The following is an 18858-nucleotide window of genomic DNA, read 5'->3' on the forward strand; positions in this document are numbered from 1 at the left end:
ACCTCAGCCTCCCAAAGATGCTGGGATTATAGGCGTGAGCCACTGCGCCCAGCATGTTTGTTGCTTTCTCTAGGGTTGTCTGGGAAGACTGATTTGAGCAGAGAGCCAAAGGCAGTAAAAGAAAATAAGCCCATACAGAGGGGGAAGCACATGGAAAGGCCCTGAGGGGGAGCTTGTTTGGCGCATTGGAGGAACAACAAGCTGGCAGTGTGCTGGAGCCCCGGGGCGAGGGGACAGGTGCTAGGACATGAGGTCCTATACAAGTAGGTGGGTTAGGGTGGGGCTCATGCAGGGCCTTATTGGCCATGATAGGGACTTTGAAACTTATGCTAAGTGAAGTGAGAATTCACTGGAGAATTCTGAGGCAAGACTTGATGTAATCTAACTTAACATCTTAAAAGGATCACTGTCAGCTCTAAGAAGAATAGATGCTAGATGCTAGCTGTGTGATCCTGGGTAAATTTATTAACCTTCTAGAACCTCAGTTTCCTTATCTAGAAAATATGTAATAATAAAACCTCAAAAGGTTTTTATGAGGCTTAAGTGAGATAATTCAAGTAAACCATTTAGAACTGTGTCTGGCACATAGTACATGCTCACTAAACGTTAGCCATTATTATTATTTTAGGAACCCCTTTTGAAAGGTAGTAGTTTTGTCTCTGCTGCTTAATACTCTGATGATTTGGAGGCACTGTGGTTAGCACACTGAGTGCTTTCCTGTGAGAATCAAGTTGAAGACAACTGAGATCCAGCTGGGCCTGGTTTTCTGTATTTAAACGGAGAAGAACACTGGACATTTGATCATTACTTGGAAATAGGGTGACTAACATCCCAGTCTGCCTGGGATGCCTCTGATTTTAAAACTGAAAAGTCTCTGGTCCTGGGAACCTCCTTAGTCTCAGGACATTGGTTACTCCAGATATTCTAATGAATAACATAGTGTGGAAGGTAAAGTAGGCCTTTTAGTTTGGTATCTTCCTATTCTTAGTTTATTTGTTGTTATAAATTAAAACAACAAAACCCAATCAAATAAACATGTATACATTTAACTTTGAGCCAAGATATATTTGTAGCCAGTATCACATTTGTTGCCATGGTGTTCAATGCATATTGCTTGAATTGAACTAGCATTATTTCAGAGTTTGCCTTTGGTATGTAATGGAATGTTTATAAAGCAGGTTGACATAGTGAATAGTATTTCTAAATTCATGTCACCCCCCTGAGCAGAGTTGAACTGACTCCATTCATACCATCTTTCATCATTTATCCACATATATGGAGAGCTTACTGTATGTCAGAAAGGATGTGTACAATAGATGGTTTAATAAATGTCTGGCTATCTCTGGGTGTTTACATTCAATGCTTCCTTCTACTGCAGGCAAATAAAAGTTAGCACTGCATAAATTGCCTGTTCTAGACATCAACCCAGAACTAACCCTGCTGGTTCTGGATAATTAGTCTGTGCATTTTCATAGTTCTGCCTGTCTACTCTGCTCTAGTATCTTCCTTTGAATCTTTGATTTGCAGATTCTTTGGGCTCTTCTGTGCAGTTTGGGACTTAGCAGACCACGTTTGGCTTTCTGGAAAGGGCTCAGAGAGACTTTCCTCTTATTAGCTCTGGTACTGATATGACTCTCTTGGCCAGGGGAGGGGAGTTTAAACTAAAATTCTACCTGGAACCCAAAGTGTTTTGGAACTATGAGTGAGGGGTGGCCATGCTCCTGTCTCTGTACCTGGGAAGTGATGCTCAAATGTGGACTTAGGTCTAGCTGCCTTCCTCCTTGTAACTTGCAGAGGCCAGGTGGGAGCAGTAATGTGAACTCTTTCAGCTGAAAACAGACATTTGGGCCAGGTTTACAAGTCTATGATATTTTCTACATCTTTCAGTGTGGAATAATTGGTGTCTTGGCAAAACTTTTCAGAACAAATTGGGACTTAGCCTGAACTGGAGCCCCTGACTGAGACAGTTGTACTCCTTGGCACAGCACCACCTGCAGGCTGATGTGGAGAAGTGCACCTGAGAGTTAACGGGGCCCATCTTGCCCAGCTAGAAATGGCTGCAGGATGTAGCTAAGATACTGACTGTCACAGCACCTTCAGGGTGTTCATTGTTGTTCTTGGGGACTGCAGGCCATCTTTGGGTGTTATTCATTTTGCATGCCCCAATAACTGGTCTTCTCAGGAGGGAAAGGAGCTTCGAGGCCTTTTGGCAGTAGAAAAAACATAACCTATGTCTCCCACGCTTCTGGCCTCCTCTAGCCAATTTGGCCTGACACAATGGAATTGAGTGCCTCTGACACTGCGATGGCAGCTGGCATGGCTGGCTTCTGCTCTGACCTCTCCATCCAGAAGTTGTTGGTGCTAGTACGGGTGAATGATCTTGTAGGGGAACAGGTGTTATTGGCTTGGGGGTATATCCTGTTATTGTGCCCTGACACTCAGTTTTGGAGCAGTGGTGGCTAACTCAGAACCTGACCGCTGGCCAGGTGAAGAAGCTACCTTATTTGAGTGATTTGAATTCTCTAATTCTACAGGCTGGACAGACATGTTATTCACACATAATCCAGAAATAGTCCTCACAGACATATTCTCCAGCCAGGGAGCTTACTGCTTGAGACAATCAGGTACTGTGTGCTGTGTTGAGGCATCTCAGAGATCCAGAGCGATCTAAAGGTGACTCGAAGGGCATGTGGGGCCACTATTCCAGGATCTCTGGCCTGCAGCTTTTCTGGCTGTGACGGGGGTATTGCTCATACTGTACATGGCTGTGTCGTAGCAGCAGATGGCCGCATGCAAATGCTGGGCTCCGCTGTGACATCACCATGCTTGGCTGGTTCAAATCCTGATGTGTCTTGTAGACTTCTGGTGTTTCTGCATTCTCTCCCTCTGCCTTATTGGTAACAGTTAGACCTAGGTCCAAGACAGGCTTGGGAAAGCAGAGGAATTATCTCATTCTCCCCCAACCCTCCAGATCCCCCAGGTACAAAGCCATCAATGAGGTCAGTTCAGACTTCATTGTCCAGGAGAAATGTATGCCCTCACTACCATAATGTTTCAGTAGAATATGGACATTCCATTTTCCTACACTTCAGGTAACACCAAGAATTATTGTTATTATTATTTTTATCTTTGTCAGACTGACAGAAGAAACACAATATTGTTTTCATTTGTATTTCCTTAATTACTAGACAGCATATATTTATTGGCTATTTGTATTTCTTCCTTTGTTCCTGAGCCTTTGAACTTCATAGCCCTCCCATGCGTCATGCTGTGGCAGGCACAGTAGGGCCAACTGCCCATTACAATGCCTGGCCCAGGAGTTTACCAAGGATACAGTGACCTGCTTGTTCTTGACTTGCTTTTGGTCTCTGGTTTTCACAATTGGTTTCTGGCTTATTAGACTGCTTTCTGCACAGTTCTCAGCATTGTACTTACCCCTAACTGTCATATCTCCACTCTGGGAGAGAGGTTTCTTCTGTTCTAATAACTGGCCCCACTCACTACTTCTAGGCAAAGTTTAGAGGATAAGTCTAAGGGAAAATATTCAACCCCTGCTCTCAGTCACAGTCTAGTTGGGAATAATAAAATATAGATTTTTGGCAAAATAAAATATGTAAAATAAACATATTTTACTGCCTTTAACAAAAATATGTATTCAAGAGAGATAAACTCCAGATATACTAGGGACTTTCCAGGAAGAAGTCACCTCTGCCTATTGGAGGCATGTATAGGAGGCAAGAAACTGAAACTGATTTCACCAGTGGACAAGGAAGGGAGGGATTTCCATGCAGCAGTTGCAGAGACCTACATGCATGGGCTTTTTGGGAATAAACTGCAAACAAATCCGTATGTTTGGAGGAAGATGAGCCTAGAAATGTAGATGGAGTAGTATTAGTAAGGGCCTTGTAAACTAGGCAAAGGAGTGTAGACTTCCTGTAGGCAAACAAAAGCCATGGGTACCTAGTGGTCTAGTATAATCATCATATACTATAATTAGGGACTATAAAAAGTGTATAGCCACTGCTTTTTATATGCCAGGGACTGTGCCAAGTATTTCAACCACTGTAACTCATTCTCAGATTTGCGTTTCAGATGGATCACACTGTTGGCAGTGGGGAAGATGTATTGTAGAGGGCAAGACTAGAGGGGGAAGATTAGTTGCATTAGTTAGAAAATAGGACATGGTGGCTGGATGTGAGGATGGAAAGAAGGAGACAAATTAGAGATATATTAACCTAACAAAGTTAAAATGTCAGGAAATGTGAGAGAGGAATCTAGGATGACTGCTGGAATGGCTTGGATAAATGTTGCATGAAGGGATTGTTGTTTGGGAGGTTATAGGAAGAATGAAGTGTTTTCCATGTATATCCGTGATTAAACATCTCTCTAATATGCTTTTGTTGAGTTAAAAGGCAGACATGAGTTTGGATTCTGAATTTCATCATGCACTGGTGCTGTAATATTGAGTCATGCCAGTCACTTGAATGCGTACCTCCCTCTCCAGGCATCAGTTTTCTCAACTATAAAGTGAGGATAACCATGTCCTAAAGGAGAATTGTAATGATTAGAGATAAGGCAGAGTGCCTGACACATATTGGGCCTTTAATAAATGGGGCCTGTTATCTCTACAGTTAAATTTTCTTTTAACACTACTACCACCACCGCCGCCACCAGGGGTTTGGTGACGTACATGTTGTAGTGTTTCATGTAGAAGGAAATAGGGTGCCAGGAATTAAAAGGTGGAGCAGAATCAAGATGAACTTGGGAGAAATATGAGAAAAGAATAAACTTTGATTTGTCTTCTTTAGAAATATAGAGCCTACGTTTTCCAAAATGTTCATGCAGCATTCATCCAAGCCATTCCAGCAGTCATCCTAGATTCCTCTCTCACATTTCCAGACCTTTTAACTTTGTTAGGTTAATATATCTCTAATGTGTCTCCTTCTTTCCATCCTCACATCCTGCCATCCAGCCATATTTGTGCCGTATTTTGGAGTAAAGTTCTGGACCTGGGTGGGAATGCTGCAAGGCATTATTCCTAACCTGATAGGATACACATGCACATGGGCAGCCTCTACATACTTACATGTCTGGTTTTCATTTTAGGACCCCAAATCAAATTTGATCCAACAGTGGTTGTCACAACAAAGTGATCTTGGAGTCATTTCCAAAACTTTTCAGCTATCTTCCCATCCAATACTTGGTGACTGGTCTATTCAAGTTCAAGTGAATGTGAGTATAAATATATTTTTTGGGGGGAATGTTAAAGTGATTTAATTAGGTCAGGTGGGGGAAAATCTCCAAAGTCATTTATACAATGAAGAGAAAAAAATTAATGTGAACATTTAGACAATTTAAACGGTTTATTTTTAATTTATGATGTTTATCAAGGGTTTATTTAGCTTTCATTCTAACATATTAGAATTTTCATAACTGTTGTCTTTTTCTATGATATGATGTTTAAAGGTTAAAACATTTTGACATTTTAGTACACAATGTTTACTTATTTGTTTCATGCATTATTTTAAAACTAAGTAATGAACACATAGCTATTATTTGGCAAATTTTATGCCTTAGAATAATGACTCCTAATGAGTGATTAGATTAACCTACTTTTATCTTTGTTTTAAGAAACAGTGACTTAAATAGCTACACCGACTGCTATTCCCCAATCCTTTTTCCCTAGCTTCTACACCTATTGCCTTTACTTGCTGCCAACTTGTATAGCTCTGAAATCTAAATGGAGGGCATTAAATGGCATATAAATCTAAATGGGGGGCATTCATTGGAATGAATGAGACATAAACACAATGGGATGGAAACAATTTTAAAAAGCAATGAGACTTAACTGTTTTATGTGATATAAATTGGTCATTTAGTATATAACATGTAAACCTTTATATTTTTCTATATTTATGTGACATATAAACATATAAGATATAATCAACTTTTTCTGTATCTAAAGGGGAAGATATGTAATATGAAATGCATGAAATTGTAGCTTATTCTAAGCATTGTTGCTGAGCCTTGAGTAGGTGGGACTCGTGTGTGAATTGACCTGTATGAATGAGAACAGTGCTGGAGGCACAATGGACTCTCAATATTTGCTTCATGGCCACCCTGCATCTTTATGGGTGTTTGTATGATGTGTTTACCAATATTATTCTTTTTAAGGTAGCAGAAGCTCTACCGAATGAATGTATGATGTGGTTTTAAAGAACATTTGAGGCAATATTATGAAAGGGGCTCATACTGTTAGAGAACAATGTAATGCATAACCATTAAAGTCATGGACAATTTTCAGTGAGGTCTTTGCTTATTTCCTTACTTATAACAGTGTAATAATAACCACTGTTATAAATGGCAGCCTAGAGCAGGATGTGATGAGTTCTAGGGGAAGTGGAATTCTTTATATCTGAGCTTGTAGAGAAAGTGGAAAGAGTAGGCATTTGTGAAACTTAGAAAATAGGGAAAAATTTGTGTGGGAGTAGGGAAAATGGAAGAGAACGTTATGTGTCTGGGGATTTGGGAGAAGTTGATGTTACTGGAGCATGTGGAGAATGATGGCGGTGTAGATTAGGAAGCACGTTGTGAGTTTAAAGTAGTTTGAATATTATTTTCAGTTCCCACTTAAATTCTTAAGAATCACTTTTTTTGGTCCATCCATCCATCGATCCTTCTATCCACCCACCCACCCACCAACCCAGTATGTGTTAAGGACTTTATGGCTGTGATGAATACAAAGAAGGTAAACATATGACCTCCATTTTCAAAGGTCATTGTCATGGTGACATGAACAATATGATAAAAATTAAATGACATAAGGGGGACAGACAAACACAGGGCAGTGCAATAGCAGAGGAATTGTAAGGTGTTCAGTCCAGCTTGGTGATAAAGAGGGTTTATTGTTAGCACAAGCACTGATGTTTTGGGGCCAGCTGCTCCTTCTGTCTCCCATGGTCTGCTCTGTTCTCCTTTCACTCTTCTGCCAACCTTTGAGGTGTTCTTCAGTTCTTCTGATTCCATTAGCTTAGCTAAATAACCATCATGCCCAGAATCTTTAAAGCAAGCCTCTGCACAGGTGGCTGGCAGCCTGTGGGTGGGCCGCCCTGGGTCAAGGTGTCCATTTTTGGTCCATTCAGATGCCACCTATGCACAATGACCAGCAAGAGCAGTTTTAGCTGGATAACAGGCGCTGAGGGATTAATTTGTTCATTGAATGGTGGACAGAATAAGTACCAGAAGAGAGGGGGATAGAATAGCAGAGGGAGACTTTGCAGAAGATGTGAGATTATACTTTGAAAGATTTATAGGATTTATCATGTTGTGGTTTGTGGACTTGGCTTGTCATATTGCTTTTATAGAAAACAAATGCTCTTAAGGAAATTTAGGTGCTTAAAAAATGAAAAGCATTTGCAGGATCTGGCCCTTGCCCAACTTTTCAGTCTTGTAAAGTGCCGCCCTTCCTCTTGAACTCTATGCTTTAGACATCTTATGTCCCTTAAGTTTCTTAAACTCACCGATCTGTCTCATTCTAGAGCCTTTCATCATGCTGTTCCCTCTGCTGAGAATGTTTTTTCTTCCTTATTCTCGCTACTTGCTTTTAACCTGCAGCCATTCTCTAAAGTGGCCTGGCTGTTCCAGACATTCCCATAGTACTGTGTGCTTCCCTTAATTCATTCATCTCACTTTTAATTAGTGGTCCATGATAGACAGTAGCCTTTGTAAAGCTGGTGACCTTCTGGTCTTGCTCACCTCTCTATTCCTGGGACCAAGTTCAGTGCTTTTGCATGTAAGTAGAAAGCAGTATTTTCTTAAAACGAATGTGTGAAAACTATATAGCAATAATTTGTCTTGAACCAAATGCAATTTTCCCTTTTGTATATTCTATAAAGCATCTTTATCTTTTTGAAGACAAGTATACTGATCAGGTACTTGTCATTTGAGGTATGTTAATTTGAGGCATTCAGCTAAGAAAAAATAAGCCCCTTAAAAAAAAGAGCCCTTTTAGAACCACCAGGGGTCAGTATAACCAAGGAAATGTTATGAGAAGCAACTGTGGCCTTGGTCTCTGGCTTTTGTTTTTCTTTGACTACTGCGCAGCATTAAAGGACTGTATATTTCTTGTTATTAAACCCCTTTTCTTTTAGTAGTGAATAATAACATAGAGGAAATGTATTTATTATTTAAATAGCCCACCATTAGAGACTATATTTTTACTTTTCGGTGGCAGTCACCATTCTCAATATAAAACTCAGGGAAGGAAAATATTTATTTTCAAGAAAGTATTGGCTGGGCGTGGTGGCTCACACCTGTAATCCCAGCACTTTGGGAAGCCGAGGCGGGCGGATCACGAGGTCAGGAGACCGAGACCATCTTGGCTAATACAGTGAAACCCCGTCTCTACTAAAAATACGAAAAATTAGCTGGGTGTGGTGGCGGGCGCCTGTAGTCCCAGCTACTCGGGAGGCTGAGGCAGGAGAATGGCGTGAACCTGGGAGGCGGAGCTTGCAGTGAGCCAAGATCATGCCACCGCTCTCCAGCCTGGGCGACAGAGTGATACTCTGGCTAAAAAAAAAGGAAGTATTTTTTAAATTTTTTAATTTGTAAGAGACAGGGTTGTCGTCTGTCACTCAGGCTAGAGTGAAGTGGCACAATCATAGTTCACTGCAGCCTCGAACTCCTGGGCTCAAGTGATCCTCCTGCCTCAGCCTCCTGAGTAGCAGGGACTACAGGTATGTGCCACTACGCCTGCCTAGTTAAAAAATTTTTTTTTCCTTTTCATAGAGACAGGGTCTTGTTATGTTGCCCAGGCTGATCTTGAGCTCCTGGACTCAAGCAATCCTTCTGCCTTGGCCTCACAAAGTGCTGGGATTACATGTGTGAGCCATCATACACAGCCTTTGGGAGAGTTTTGAAATTCCATTTTGTCTGTAGAAAAAATATGGAATGATATGAGTATTCCCACTGATGGACAATCTCTTTAAGAATTACCGGAGTTATCAGAGCTTTGATTTGTAATGACTATACAGGTAATCAGAAAGTGGTATTCTTCAGTTACCCTTTGTCCTAGGTCAGGAAAAGGATCCTTTAAGTAAAACATACTTGACGGCTCCTTGGCATTTCTCCACTTGTATTAATAACATGTTTGTTTGTAGAGTAAGAGTGAATAAGTCCTTTATGATACCGTGTTAACCTTTCTGGATTAATCTAAATTGTTTGCCCTTCAAGTATTGTATTGCTTTTCACCTTCAAGGTTTTTTATGATAGTAATGGTGAGTAATTATTTTGGTCTAGTATGATTTCTAGTTTTCTTTTCTTTCTTTCTTTTTTTTTTTTTTCGAGACAGAGTCTCGCTCTTTTGCCCAGGCCGTGGTGTGATCTCGGCTCACTGAAACCTCCACATCCCAGGTTCAAGCGATTCTCCTGCCTCAGCCTCCTGAGTAGCTGGGATTACAGGCATGCACCACCATGCCCAGCTAATTTTTGTATTTTTAGTAGAGACGGTTTCATCATGTTGGCCAGGGTGGTCTTGAACTCCAGACCTCAAGTGATGCACCCTACTCGGCCTCCCAAAGTGCTGGGATTACAGGCATGAGCCACTGTGCCTGGCCAAGAAAGGAAACAAATGTTTTGGGGGATTAGTTAAGTGATTTGCCCAATGTCCCACAACTTACCAAACTAGGATTAGAACTCAGGCCTTTTGACACCAAATCCAAGGTTCTCTCTACCCTGCCACCTTGGTTTTCCATCTTATGTTTTATCTCTGTCATTGTTCAGCATATGATGGTGGGACATCATAAGTTCTCAATATATACATAGACTTTTTTTTTTTTTACAATGCTAGTTTAATCAAATTGCAAAGAAACTCTTGATGATTATAATGTTTAAGACCTCTTAAAATCAGTAAAGTTTAGTAAGAGCCCTGGCTCTTTTTGTGCTACTTATACGTGTGCTTAATTGACACACATATTCTAGTGTGAATAGTTCTTTGCTACTTTGGGGATTGTACTTCTTCTCTTGAGAATGTGACCAAGTCTTCTACTTCTGCCATACTTTGATTGCCCTGCTCTTTTTCATCATTTCTTTGTCTAGAGCACCAAGCCCTCCTCTCAGAGGGCAGAGGTATATTTTAGCTGTAACATCTTTTCATAGAAGTGTGTTTTATAGGGCCGTTATACTTTAGGTACATTATAAGTTGAGTGTGGGAATATGTTCTGATTTAATAATTGACTTGAAAATACACCTTAGGAAGATAATGTGTTTTAAAAGTTAGACATTCCTTTATTTTCATTTCTTTGCAATATAGTTCTCTAGGTACCTTATCTCTAGGTATGTTATCTCTTGATTGGTGTTGACAGTTTTCTCAAATAATTGCACATGGTTTTTTTGTTTTGTTTTGTTTTGTTTTTTGAGAAAGAGTCTCACTCTGTTGACCAGTCTGGAGTGCAGTGTGCAATCTCAGCTCATTGCAACCTCCACCTCCCAGGTTGAAGTGATTTTCCTGCCTCAGCCTCCTGAGTAGCTGGGATTACAGGTGTGCACCATCATGTTCAGCTAATTTTTGTATTTTTAGTAGAGATGGGGTTTCACCATGTTGGTCAGGCTGGGCTCGAACTCCTGACCTCAGGTGATTCACTTGCCTTGGGTTTCCAAAGTGCTAGGATTACAGGCATGAGCCACTGTGCCTGGCCTGCAAATGGTTTTTCCCTCCATTTTTTATTTTCTGTAGTAAAATACACATAACGTAAAATTTGCCATTGTAACCATTTTTAAGTGTACAGTTCAGTGGTATTAAGTACATTAATATTGTTGTGCATTCATCACCACCATCCATCTCTGTAACTCTTTTCATCTTGCAAAACTGAAAATCTACACCTATTAAACAATAACTCTCCATTCCCTCCCACCCCCCAGCCCCTGGCAGCCACTGTACATTCTATCTCTGTGGTGTTGATTAGTCTTATATCAGCAGAATCATACAGGATCTCTTTTTGAGACTGGCTTTTTTCTCTTAGCATAATGTTATTATGGCTCACCCATGTTGTAGCATATATCAGAATTTTCTCTCTTTTAAAGGCTGAATAATATTCCATTGTGTGAATATACCACATTTGGTTGCGAATGTTTTTGCATCTATGATTTAAAAATTATATTCGAGGTTATTAGAAGGTGATTTTAGGGGTTCTTTAAAAGAAAGGCTAATGTTGGTGTCTGAGAACCAGGCTTCTGGGAGCCAGGAGGCATCTGGCCAGAGCAGTGCAGCCTGCAGCCCAGAGCTCCAGGTCTTTGCGTGACCCACGCACTGGTGCTCATGTTCCTCCAAGAGCCCGAAAGAAGAGCCTGAGTCACTGAGAGATTCCTGGTCATTTGATGACGGCAGCCCTGTGCTGTCTTTCCTCATTGTCAGATGGAAGTCTCTTCTTCTTTCTAGAGTGGCTTAGGCATTTGAGTTTACCATAATGGCCACCTGAGGCTGCAGCTGGTTCTGAAACATCAGTGTGCCACAGAATCAATGGACTGGGAGCTTGTTTAAAGATGCATAGTCCAGGTCCCACCCCCAGATCACAATTTACTAATTTTGGCATGGGAGCTAGGAGTTTGAATTTTAAATAAGCACTCAAGGAAATTCTACTAGTTTTTTGAACCACATTTTGAGAAGTGCTCATAAATGCCCGCAGCTAGGCATCTTTAGAATCCATCTTTTCCATTGAGAGGCAGTGTTGGGCAGTGTTGGGCAGTCAACAAGGTATGGAACTGGGGACAGGCCATCTGATTTATTCTTTGAATTCCTCAGCAGTGCTACTTTCTGCTATTTACTTTACCTTTTTAGGTAATCAGCTCAGTAGAGCTCCCCAGCACCTTAGACATACTAAGTCAGAATTTCTGGGACAATGTATATCCTTTACAACAGCTTCTCTGATGCTTCAGATGCACAGCCAGCTTGGGAACCACTGAACTTGATAATCATCTTTTCTATCTGTCACTAACTACAATTTCGTAACCGTTGTCTCAATCTTAAGCCATTGTTAGAGGTGGGGAACAAGAAATAGCAAGCAGAAAACTCAACAGGGTTAAGGCTTGAAGTCACTCTTCTGGAGCCCTGTATAATGAAACGGGTTATCAAATTATTATGTAACTCAGAAGCAATCTGCATTGAGTTATTTCTTTGCATCTAACAGTTATATCTAGTTTCTCTTGAGTTACTTGTTTTTTCTAGATTAGGTGAGGGTTGCCAACACCTTACTGCTTTTTATAACCTTTCAGGATATTCCTTATTTTTTCTGGACTTGTTGTCCAGCCTCTGCCTGGGTCAGCTTGCTGCTTCTGTTAAGTATCTCTGGAGCCGTTTTTCTTTTGCAAAAGAGCACATCTTTGTTTGGACAGTTCTTGTCCCTAAAGCACTCTACCAGGAGCATCTGCTTAACCCGCCTGGCTTGTGACGACAACTTAACAGAAAGCATGGAGCAAAACTTTGACAGGTCAGAAAACAGTGGCATTCTCTCTGAAATGTGGTTGTGGCTTCCAAAATACTTTCACTAGTCTTTGCTTATAAGAAGAATGCTTTGTTTGGGAAGGATCTCAAACTCTTACTTCCTTGTTCAGTGAGAAAGGGAGGGAGGAGATGGTTTTAGAATATTGATTTCTTAGAGCATTATCTGGCAGAGCTCAGCACTTTCTCCTCCATTCTTCCAAAGGCCCCGATAAACACCTCTAGAATAGCATTTATTAATCAGTGTAGCGTTATTTTCGTTTTTTAAAAACTGTGGTAAGATATATATGTAAAATTTACCATTTTAACAATTTAAAAGTTAAGTAGCATCAGGTGCATTCACATTGTGGTGCAACCATCTGCCACCATCCATCTCCAGAACCTATTATTATCTTCAGATATTTAAAAAAATGTCTGCCTCATTTCTTAAACTGTGAACTCCTTGAAGACAGGAATTCTATTTTATTAATTTTCATATTTGTTCTGTCTAATATAATATCTGACCTGTTATGGGAACTCATTCATGCTTGTGGGATGAAAGAATGAGTGAATAGAGCTTCTTCTAGATGATTGCTGTTATTATCCTTTGTGATGTTCTTTGACTTCTAGTCTCACTCTGCTATATCATCTTGCAACTTAGTAGAAATATCTTTGTATATTTTCATTTTGAGAATATATATGGTTGCTGTATTTGATGAACCTGTGAGCTAATGGAAAACAGGACTTTTGGATTAATGCCCTGGACTTTCTCATTTTGAAAATTAAAAAAAATCTCAGGCAAGAGCTGAATATTCTAGTTTGTTATAAAGTCTAAAATAGACTTATAATTTTGGTGCCATATTATTCTTGTGTCTTTATTCAGCCATTTGATCTGCTAGTGCCAGTCCTTTGGCAGTGTGCATTTTAATTTCTAGGCCCCATATGCAAATTTTCATGAGGAGTTCTTTGTTTTGTTCTTTCTCTACAGAAGCCACCCTAGGAGGACCCCTCCTTTCAAATGTGTCTTCTGTACCCCTCTCTGAAGAGACATGTTTTTGGCATCAGTTAGAAAACTTTGGGGCCAGACTTTAGGATGTTGTGTTCATCAATGAAATGGAGGGTCTGAGTATGTAGCATCATCAGTACATAGGATAGGGACTCAGTGCTATAGATGATCTTAGAGGTCGCCTAGATCCATCTCCCCACTTTATGGAGGAAGAATCTGAGATAAGTGACGTGACCTGGTTAGGCTCACACAGTGTGTTGTGGGAGGGTCAGGACTAGCAACTAGTTTACTCATACTTTCAGTTCTGTAAAATTAAATTATTTAATATGTGCAGCAATTGCTGTTTTATTTATTTATTTATTTTTGAGACAGAGTCTTGCTCTGTCACCCAGGCTGGAGTGCAGTGGTGCTGTCTCAGCTTACTGCAACTTCTGCCTCCCAGGTTCAAGTGATTCTCCTGCCTTAGCCTCCTGAGTAGCTGGGATTTACAGGCATGTGCCACCATGGGCCTGGCTAATTTTTGTATTTTTAGTAGAGACAGGGTTTCACCATGTTGGCCAGGCTGGTCTTGAACTCTTGACCTCAGGTGATCCGCCCGCCCTGGCCTCCCAAAGTGCTGGGATTACAGGCATGAGTCATCATGCCTGGCCAGCAATTGCTGTTTTAATATGGCCTCCTTTTAAGGTTGAATTTAGATGTCAACAGGGCTTGCTGTATGCATTGGTGGAGAAGATACCTACTTCTTTTATATGACTTGTGGATGCCACGGGATCACCTTGTTTGCACGTTGGATTGTTCCCAACGTGTCCCAGATTCTGACCACAGCAGCCATGTGTTTAGATTGAAGATTTGAGTCCAGCATGTAGGTTACTTGGTTCATCTATTTAATATCCATTAATATACTATTAAGGATTAGGCTGCTGTCACCTCACAGCCTCTATAACCTTGGTCATATGAGGCTTACAAAGATTAATTTTTTGTTGTTTGTTTTTGAGACAGAGTCTCGCTGTGTCACCCAGGCTGGAGTGCAGTGGCACAATCTTGGCTTACTGTAACCTCCGCCTCCCAGGTTCAAGCGATTCACCTGCCTCAGCCTCCCGAGTAACTGGGATTACAGGCATCCACCACCACGCCTGGCTAAATTTTTGTATTTTTAGTAGAGACAAGGTTTCGCCACATTGGCCAGGCTGGTCTTGAACTTCTGACCTCAAGTGATCCGCCTGCCTCTGCCTTCCAAAGGGCTGGGATTATAGGCATAAGCCACTGTGCTCAGCCAAGAAGATTAATTTTAAAAATAACTGTTTACCTTTAGGTAGATTCACAGAAAGTTGCGAAGATAGCACAAAGCGGCCCTATATTATCTTAACGCAGTGCACCCAGTGGTTATATCTTATGTTATTATAGTACAATATAAAAAGCAAGAATTTGACGTTTGTGTGGTATGTGTGTATGGTTCTGTATGATGCTTTATTTTCAGTGGCATAGAGGGAGTTTTGGAAAATGATAACTCACTGGGCTCTGACCAGTGGTGGCAGCCCTGGGTGAGGGGGAAGGGGGCACTGAAATGAGTACCAAGTCCCTGGGTGGAGTGAGGAAAGGGAGAAAGAGCAAGAAATGGAGTTATTTTCCCTCAAGGGTAACTTTCCTATTCAGTACAAACCTGTAGCTATGCTGCTGCTTTTGCTCCCTTGCTTGAGATAGGTGCCCAAGAAAGGTGGTCATGTTACATGTCTTTAAAAACCATAGTTCCTTCTACTTTGAGTAGGAACAGAGAGGGTTAAATGGGTGATTTTTGTTTATTGTTTGTTTTTAAAGAGAATATGTTTCTAGTTAGTACTTTTTTTTTTTCAACACCAAGGAAACAAGTTTGTCCCTTGTACTGCATAATGTATTTGTACTGCAGATGGTAACACTGTTTTAGGAGTATGAATGTGCTTGTGATCCCTGGATACCTGGCCACTATTCTGCTAACTGGAGGCTTGTATGGTCTATGTCTTGGTCATTGGTTAGATCCATTATTCCCAAGTCCTGTCACTATGAGTGACTGTCAGGTATAGACCAGCTTCAGTTCTTCAGGTGTTTAGTTCCAGCCTTGATAAGAACCAGAATATTTGTAATCCTTTCTAATGAGAGAAGGGATCCAGGAACAAAACTGTCTCCTGGGGAGGTTCTGATTCCTCCCTCCTCACACTCAGTAGATTATCTTCCTTTCCACTTCACAGAGAACACAGTCATCAGATGGGAATTTCTTTCACTTTTTCTGCCAGATTTGCATGTGTTGCCTGTGCCCATCTCATGCTTATTCTCTTCTTTTTAGAGGAAAGGTCCTATTCTTCACATCTAAGACCAATATCCCGATTTCTGCCTTGGCTTCTTTCTTCCTCTACTTTGTCAGAAAACTTGCAGTGTTGACAGTCTCTTTCTTCTCAGTCTTCAAACTGGATCTCTTTCTGTCTTAGATCTTTTTATAAAATCTAATATGTTTAATTCTTTCTCATTGAAAAAACAAAAAATATAGAGAAGTACTGTACTTTAACTCTACTTCCTCTTCAGTGACTTCACATTCCCATTCTAGCCAGTCTTCTAAAAAAAAATGTCTGATCTCTCTGCCTCCATTTTCCCAACTCACTCCAGTTTGACTGAGATTTCTTTCTACTTGTTTGGATTCTTCTTCTTGGTCACTTTCGTCATTTACTCTCTATTACATATTGGCACATTGCAAGTTTGGTTTTAAGTTTCTTTCATTTCTCACTCTAGGGAAGTTCACCCGAAGGCATGGTTTCAGTTTCCATCTATACACCAATGACTCTCAAATTGGCCTCTCTGAGAGAACCTATACCTCTGAGTTCTAGACCTTTAAAACTATCTACCTTTAAAACTATCAACATCTGTATTTGGATGTTTCAAAGCACCCCAAACTCTTCATGTCCAGTATCATTCTTAACAATCTTTCCCCACCACACCTGGCTCCTCTGCAGCATTTCCTACCTTATTTAATTCTCTATCCATTCGGCTGTGCAGGCTGGTAACCTTAGAGTTCTTGACACCTCATGCTGCCTGACCACCCATATTCAGGCCTTCATCAATTCCCACAGCTTTTTCCCTTAAATAAATATATTTCTTTCTTTCTTTTTTTTTTTTCCTACCCTGAGACAGAGTCTTGCTCTGTCACCCAGGCAATCTCAGCTCACTGCAACCTCCACCTCCCGAGTTCAAGTGATCTTCCTGCCTCCATCTCCCGAGTAGCTGGGAGTACAGGCGTGTGCCACCATGCCCGGCTAATTTTTGTATTTTTTGTAGAGATGGGGTTTCACCATGTTGCCCAGGCTGGTCTCTAACTCCTTAGCTCAAGTGATCTGCCTGCCTCAACCTTAAATATATTTCAAATCCACCTACTTCTCTATTTCCACCTCTCCCTCCTTTGTCCAAGCCACTATTATATTGTTCCTAGATATTACAGTGTCTCTTAATCTCTCTGCATTTGGTTTTTTTCCCCTTTGCAACCAATTATCTACACAGCAGTAAAAATAATCTCAACATTAGCTGGATCATGTTATTCCCCAGCTTAAAACTGTCCAAAGACTTTCCACTGGCCTCAGAACAAAATTCAGATGTTTTACCATGGCCTACACAGGGTCTTACCTGATCTGACTCTGTTTTTCCCATCTCATCTCCAGATTTCATAACTCTCTGTAAATGTTAATTCACAGCTTTTATCATAATTTGTAATACATACTCACATATGTGGTTATTTGATAAATATCCTTCTTTCCACTAGATCAGAAGGTCCATGCGGGGTTGTATTCCCATTACACCTGCCACTCAGGCGCAATGAATATCTCTTGAAGGAATGGATGAATGAATGCATTTGTTGTGTTTGGGCCTCAGCCCTGGTAATTCTGATTCAGTAGCTCTGGGGTAGGAACTGGACACCTCTATTTATTAAACCCACCACAGCTGATTCTGATGCTGAGTTTGGGTTGAACCCCATAGAGAAATATGTTGCAACTACAGTTTAGACCACAGGTGTTTAGACTCTAAACAGGAAAGGGAAGGAAAGGATGATGTAAATGTTAATAAACATTTTCTCTCATTTTGCAAACCCTATTGACTCTGTCATTCCTCTAAGTAGGACAGTGTACATCAGCTGACACTTTTACAGGATGATATTTCCATTGTGATTTCTTTTTTATTTTTAAGCTCTCCCAATTTTATGGTAAAAATAAAAGAGGGGAAAAATAGGGTATTACATGATTGCTATTACGTAGGCAATAGGTTTAGGCATAGTCAGGTTAGTAGGGATCGGAATAAAGCTAAAAATATGAAGCTTTTGTGTTGTATGCGAGGGTGGGAAGAAACACCAGTCAGTACACATCTAAAGGTGACAAGACACAGACCTGGCTTTCAAGGAGCTTACAATCAGAAAAGCTTCGTGTAACAAATGCAAAGAGCATTAGATTAGGAGTCCTAAGACCTGGGTACTGTGCTCTAGTTAAGTGATGGTGGGCATGGCATTTCAGCTGTGGGTCTCCGTTTCCTCAGCTGTAAAATAAGGGGTTTGGATCAAGGGATTTTTAAGGATCTTCACAACTTTACAAGTCCAAGATAGGGCTGGAGGGGACTGTAGGATTTGGATGGGAAGTGGTGGGCTCTGAGCTGGCTGACAGGGCTGTGGGGCTGGGAGCAGGCACTGGCTGGCATGGAGGGCTTGTAGAGAGTAGTAGTTGAAGAGAAAGGTGGGGAAGTTTGTGGGCCGAGCTGTGGAGGATATTGGCTATCAGGCTGAAATTTTGTATTTCATTTTGTAGACAACAGGCAGCTCTAAAAACTTTTGTGTATTTTACTTTGAATTTCAATCAGTGATGCAAATTTCAATATAGGACTTCTGAGGACAAAGGAAACAAAATGTGTGTGAATGGGTCTCTCAAATTATAAAAGTTATAGGATCATACCTTCATAATTTTCCTCTGGTTATAAAAGTAATGCATGAGTAAGGTAAAAACATCCAAACATGATAGTGTAGAAAGTATGACACCCTTATGGTAAACTTCCAAACAAACAAAAATCATCAGTATGTGTTGTCTTCTTATTGCTTTAGTAGAAAGTTTCTATGTAAAAGTATGACATGATTAAAGTTGTATTTTAGGAAGATCACTTTGGTGGCAGCATGTAGGGTGATTAGAGGGAGAGAAACTAAAGTCCAGGAGACTACCAGGGGGTTAGTATTATTGTTTAACAAATATACGAATACCTTCAATGTTAGCTTATAATCGAATACCTTCAGTGTTAGTAAGTTCAAAGGTAATGGGGGACTGCGGTAAGAGAGCAGAAAAAATTAAAGAGGAATGGATGAATTCAAGAGACACTTAAAGGCAGAATC

The 18858-nt window shown here is 40.7% G+C and overlaps 1 protein-coding gene across 9 annotated transcripts in view; it reads left to right on the top strand.

Moving 5' to 3' along the window:
• CD109 (CD109 molecule) overlaps window positions 1-18858 on the top strand; it is a 149122-nt gene that overhangs the window by 52085 nt on the left and 78179 nt on the right. For all 9 annotated transcript variants that reach the window (XM_047418211.1, XM_047418212.1, NM_133493.5 and 6 more), the window contains one exon: window positions 5107-5232. In XM_047418211.1, coding sequence (XP_047274167.1) covers window positions 5107-5232 — 126 coding nt within the window. The remainder of the gene's footprint in view (window positions 1-5106; window positions 5233-18858) is intronic.

Source organism: Homo sapiens, chromosome 6 (assembly GCF_000001405.40).
Source record: "Homo sapiens chromosome 6, GRCh38.p14 Primary Assembly".
Taxonomy (NCBI): domain Eukaryota; kingdom Metazoa; phylum Chordata; class Mammalia; order Primates; family Hominidae; genus Homo; species Homo sapiens.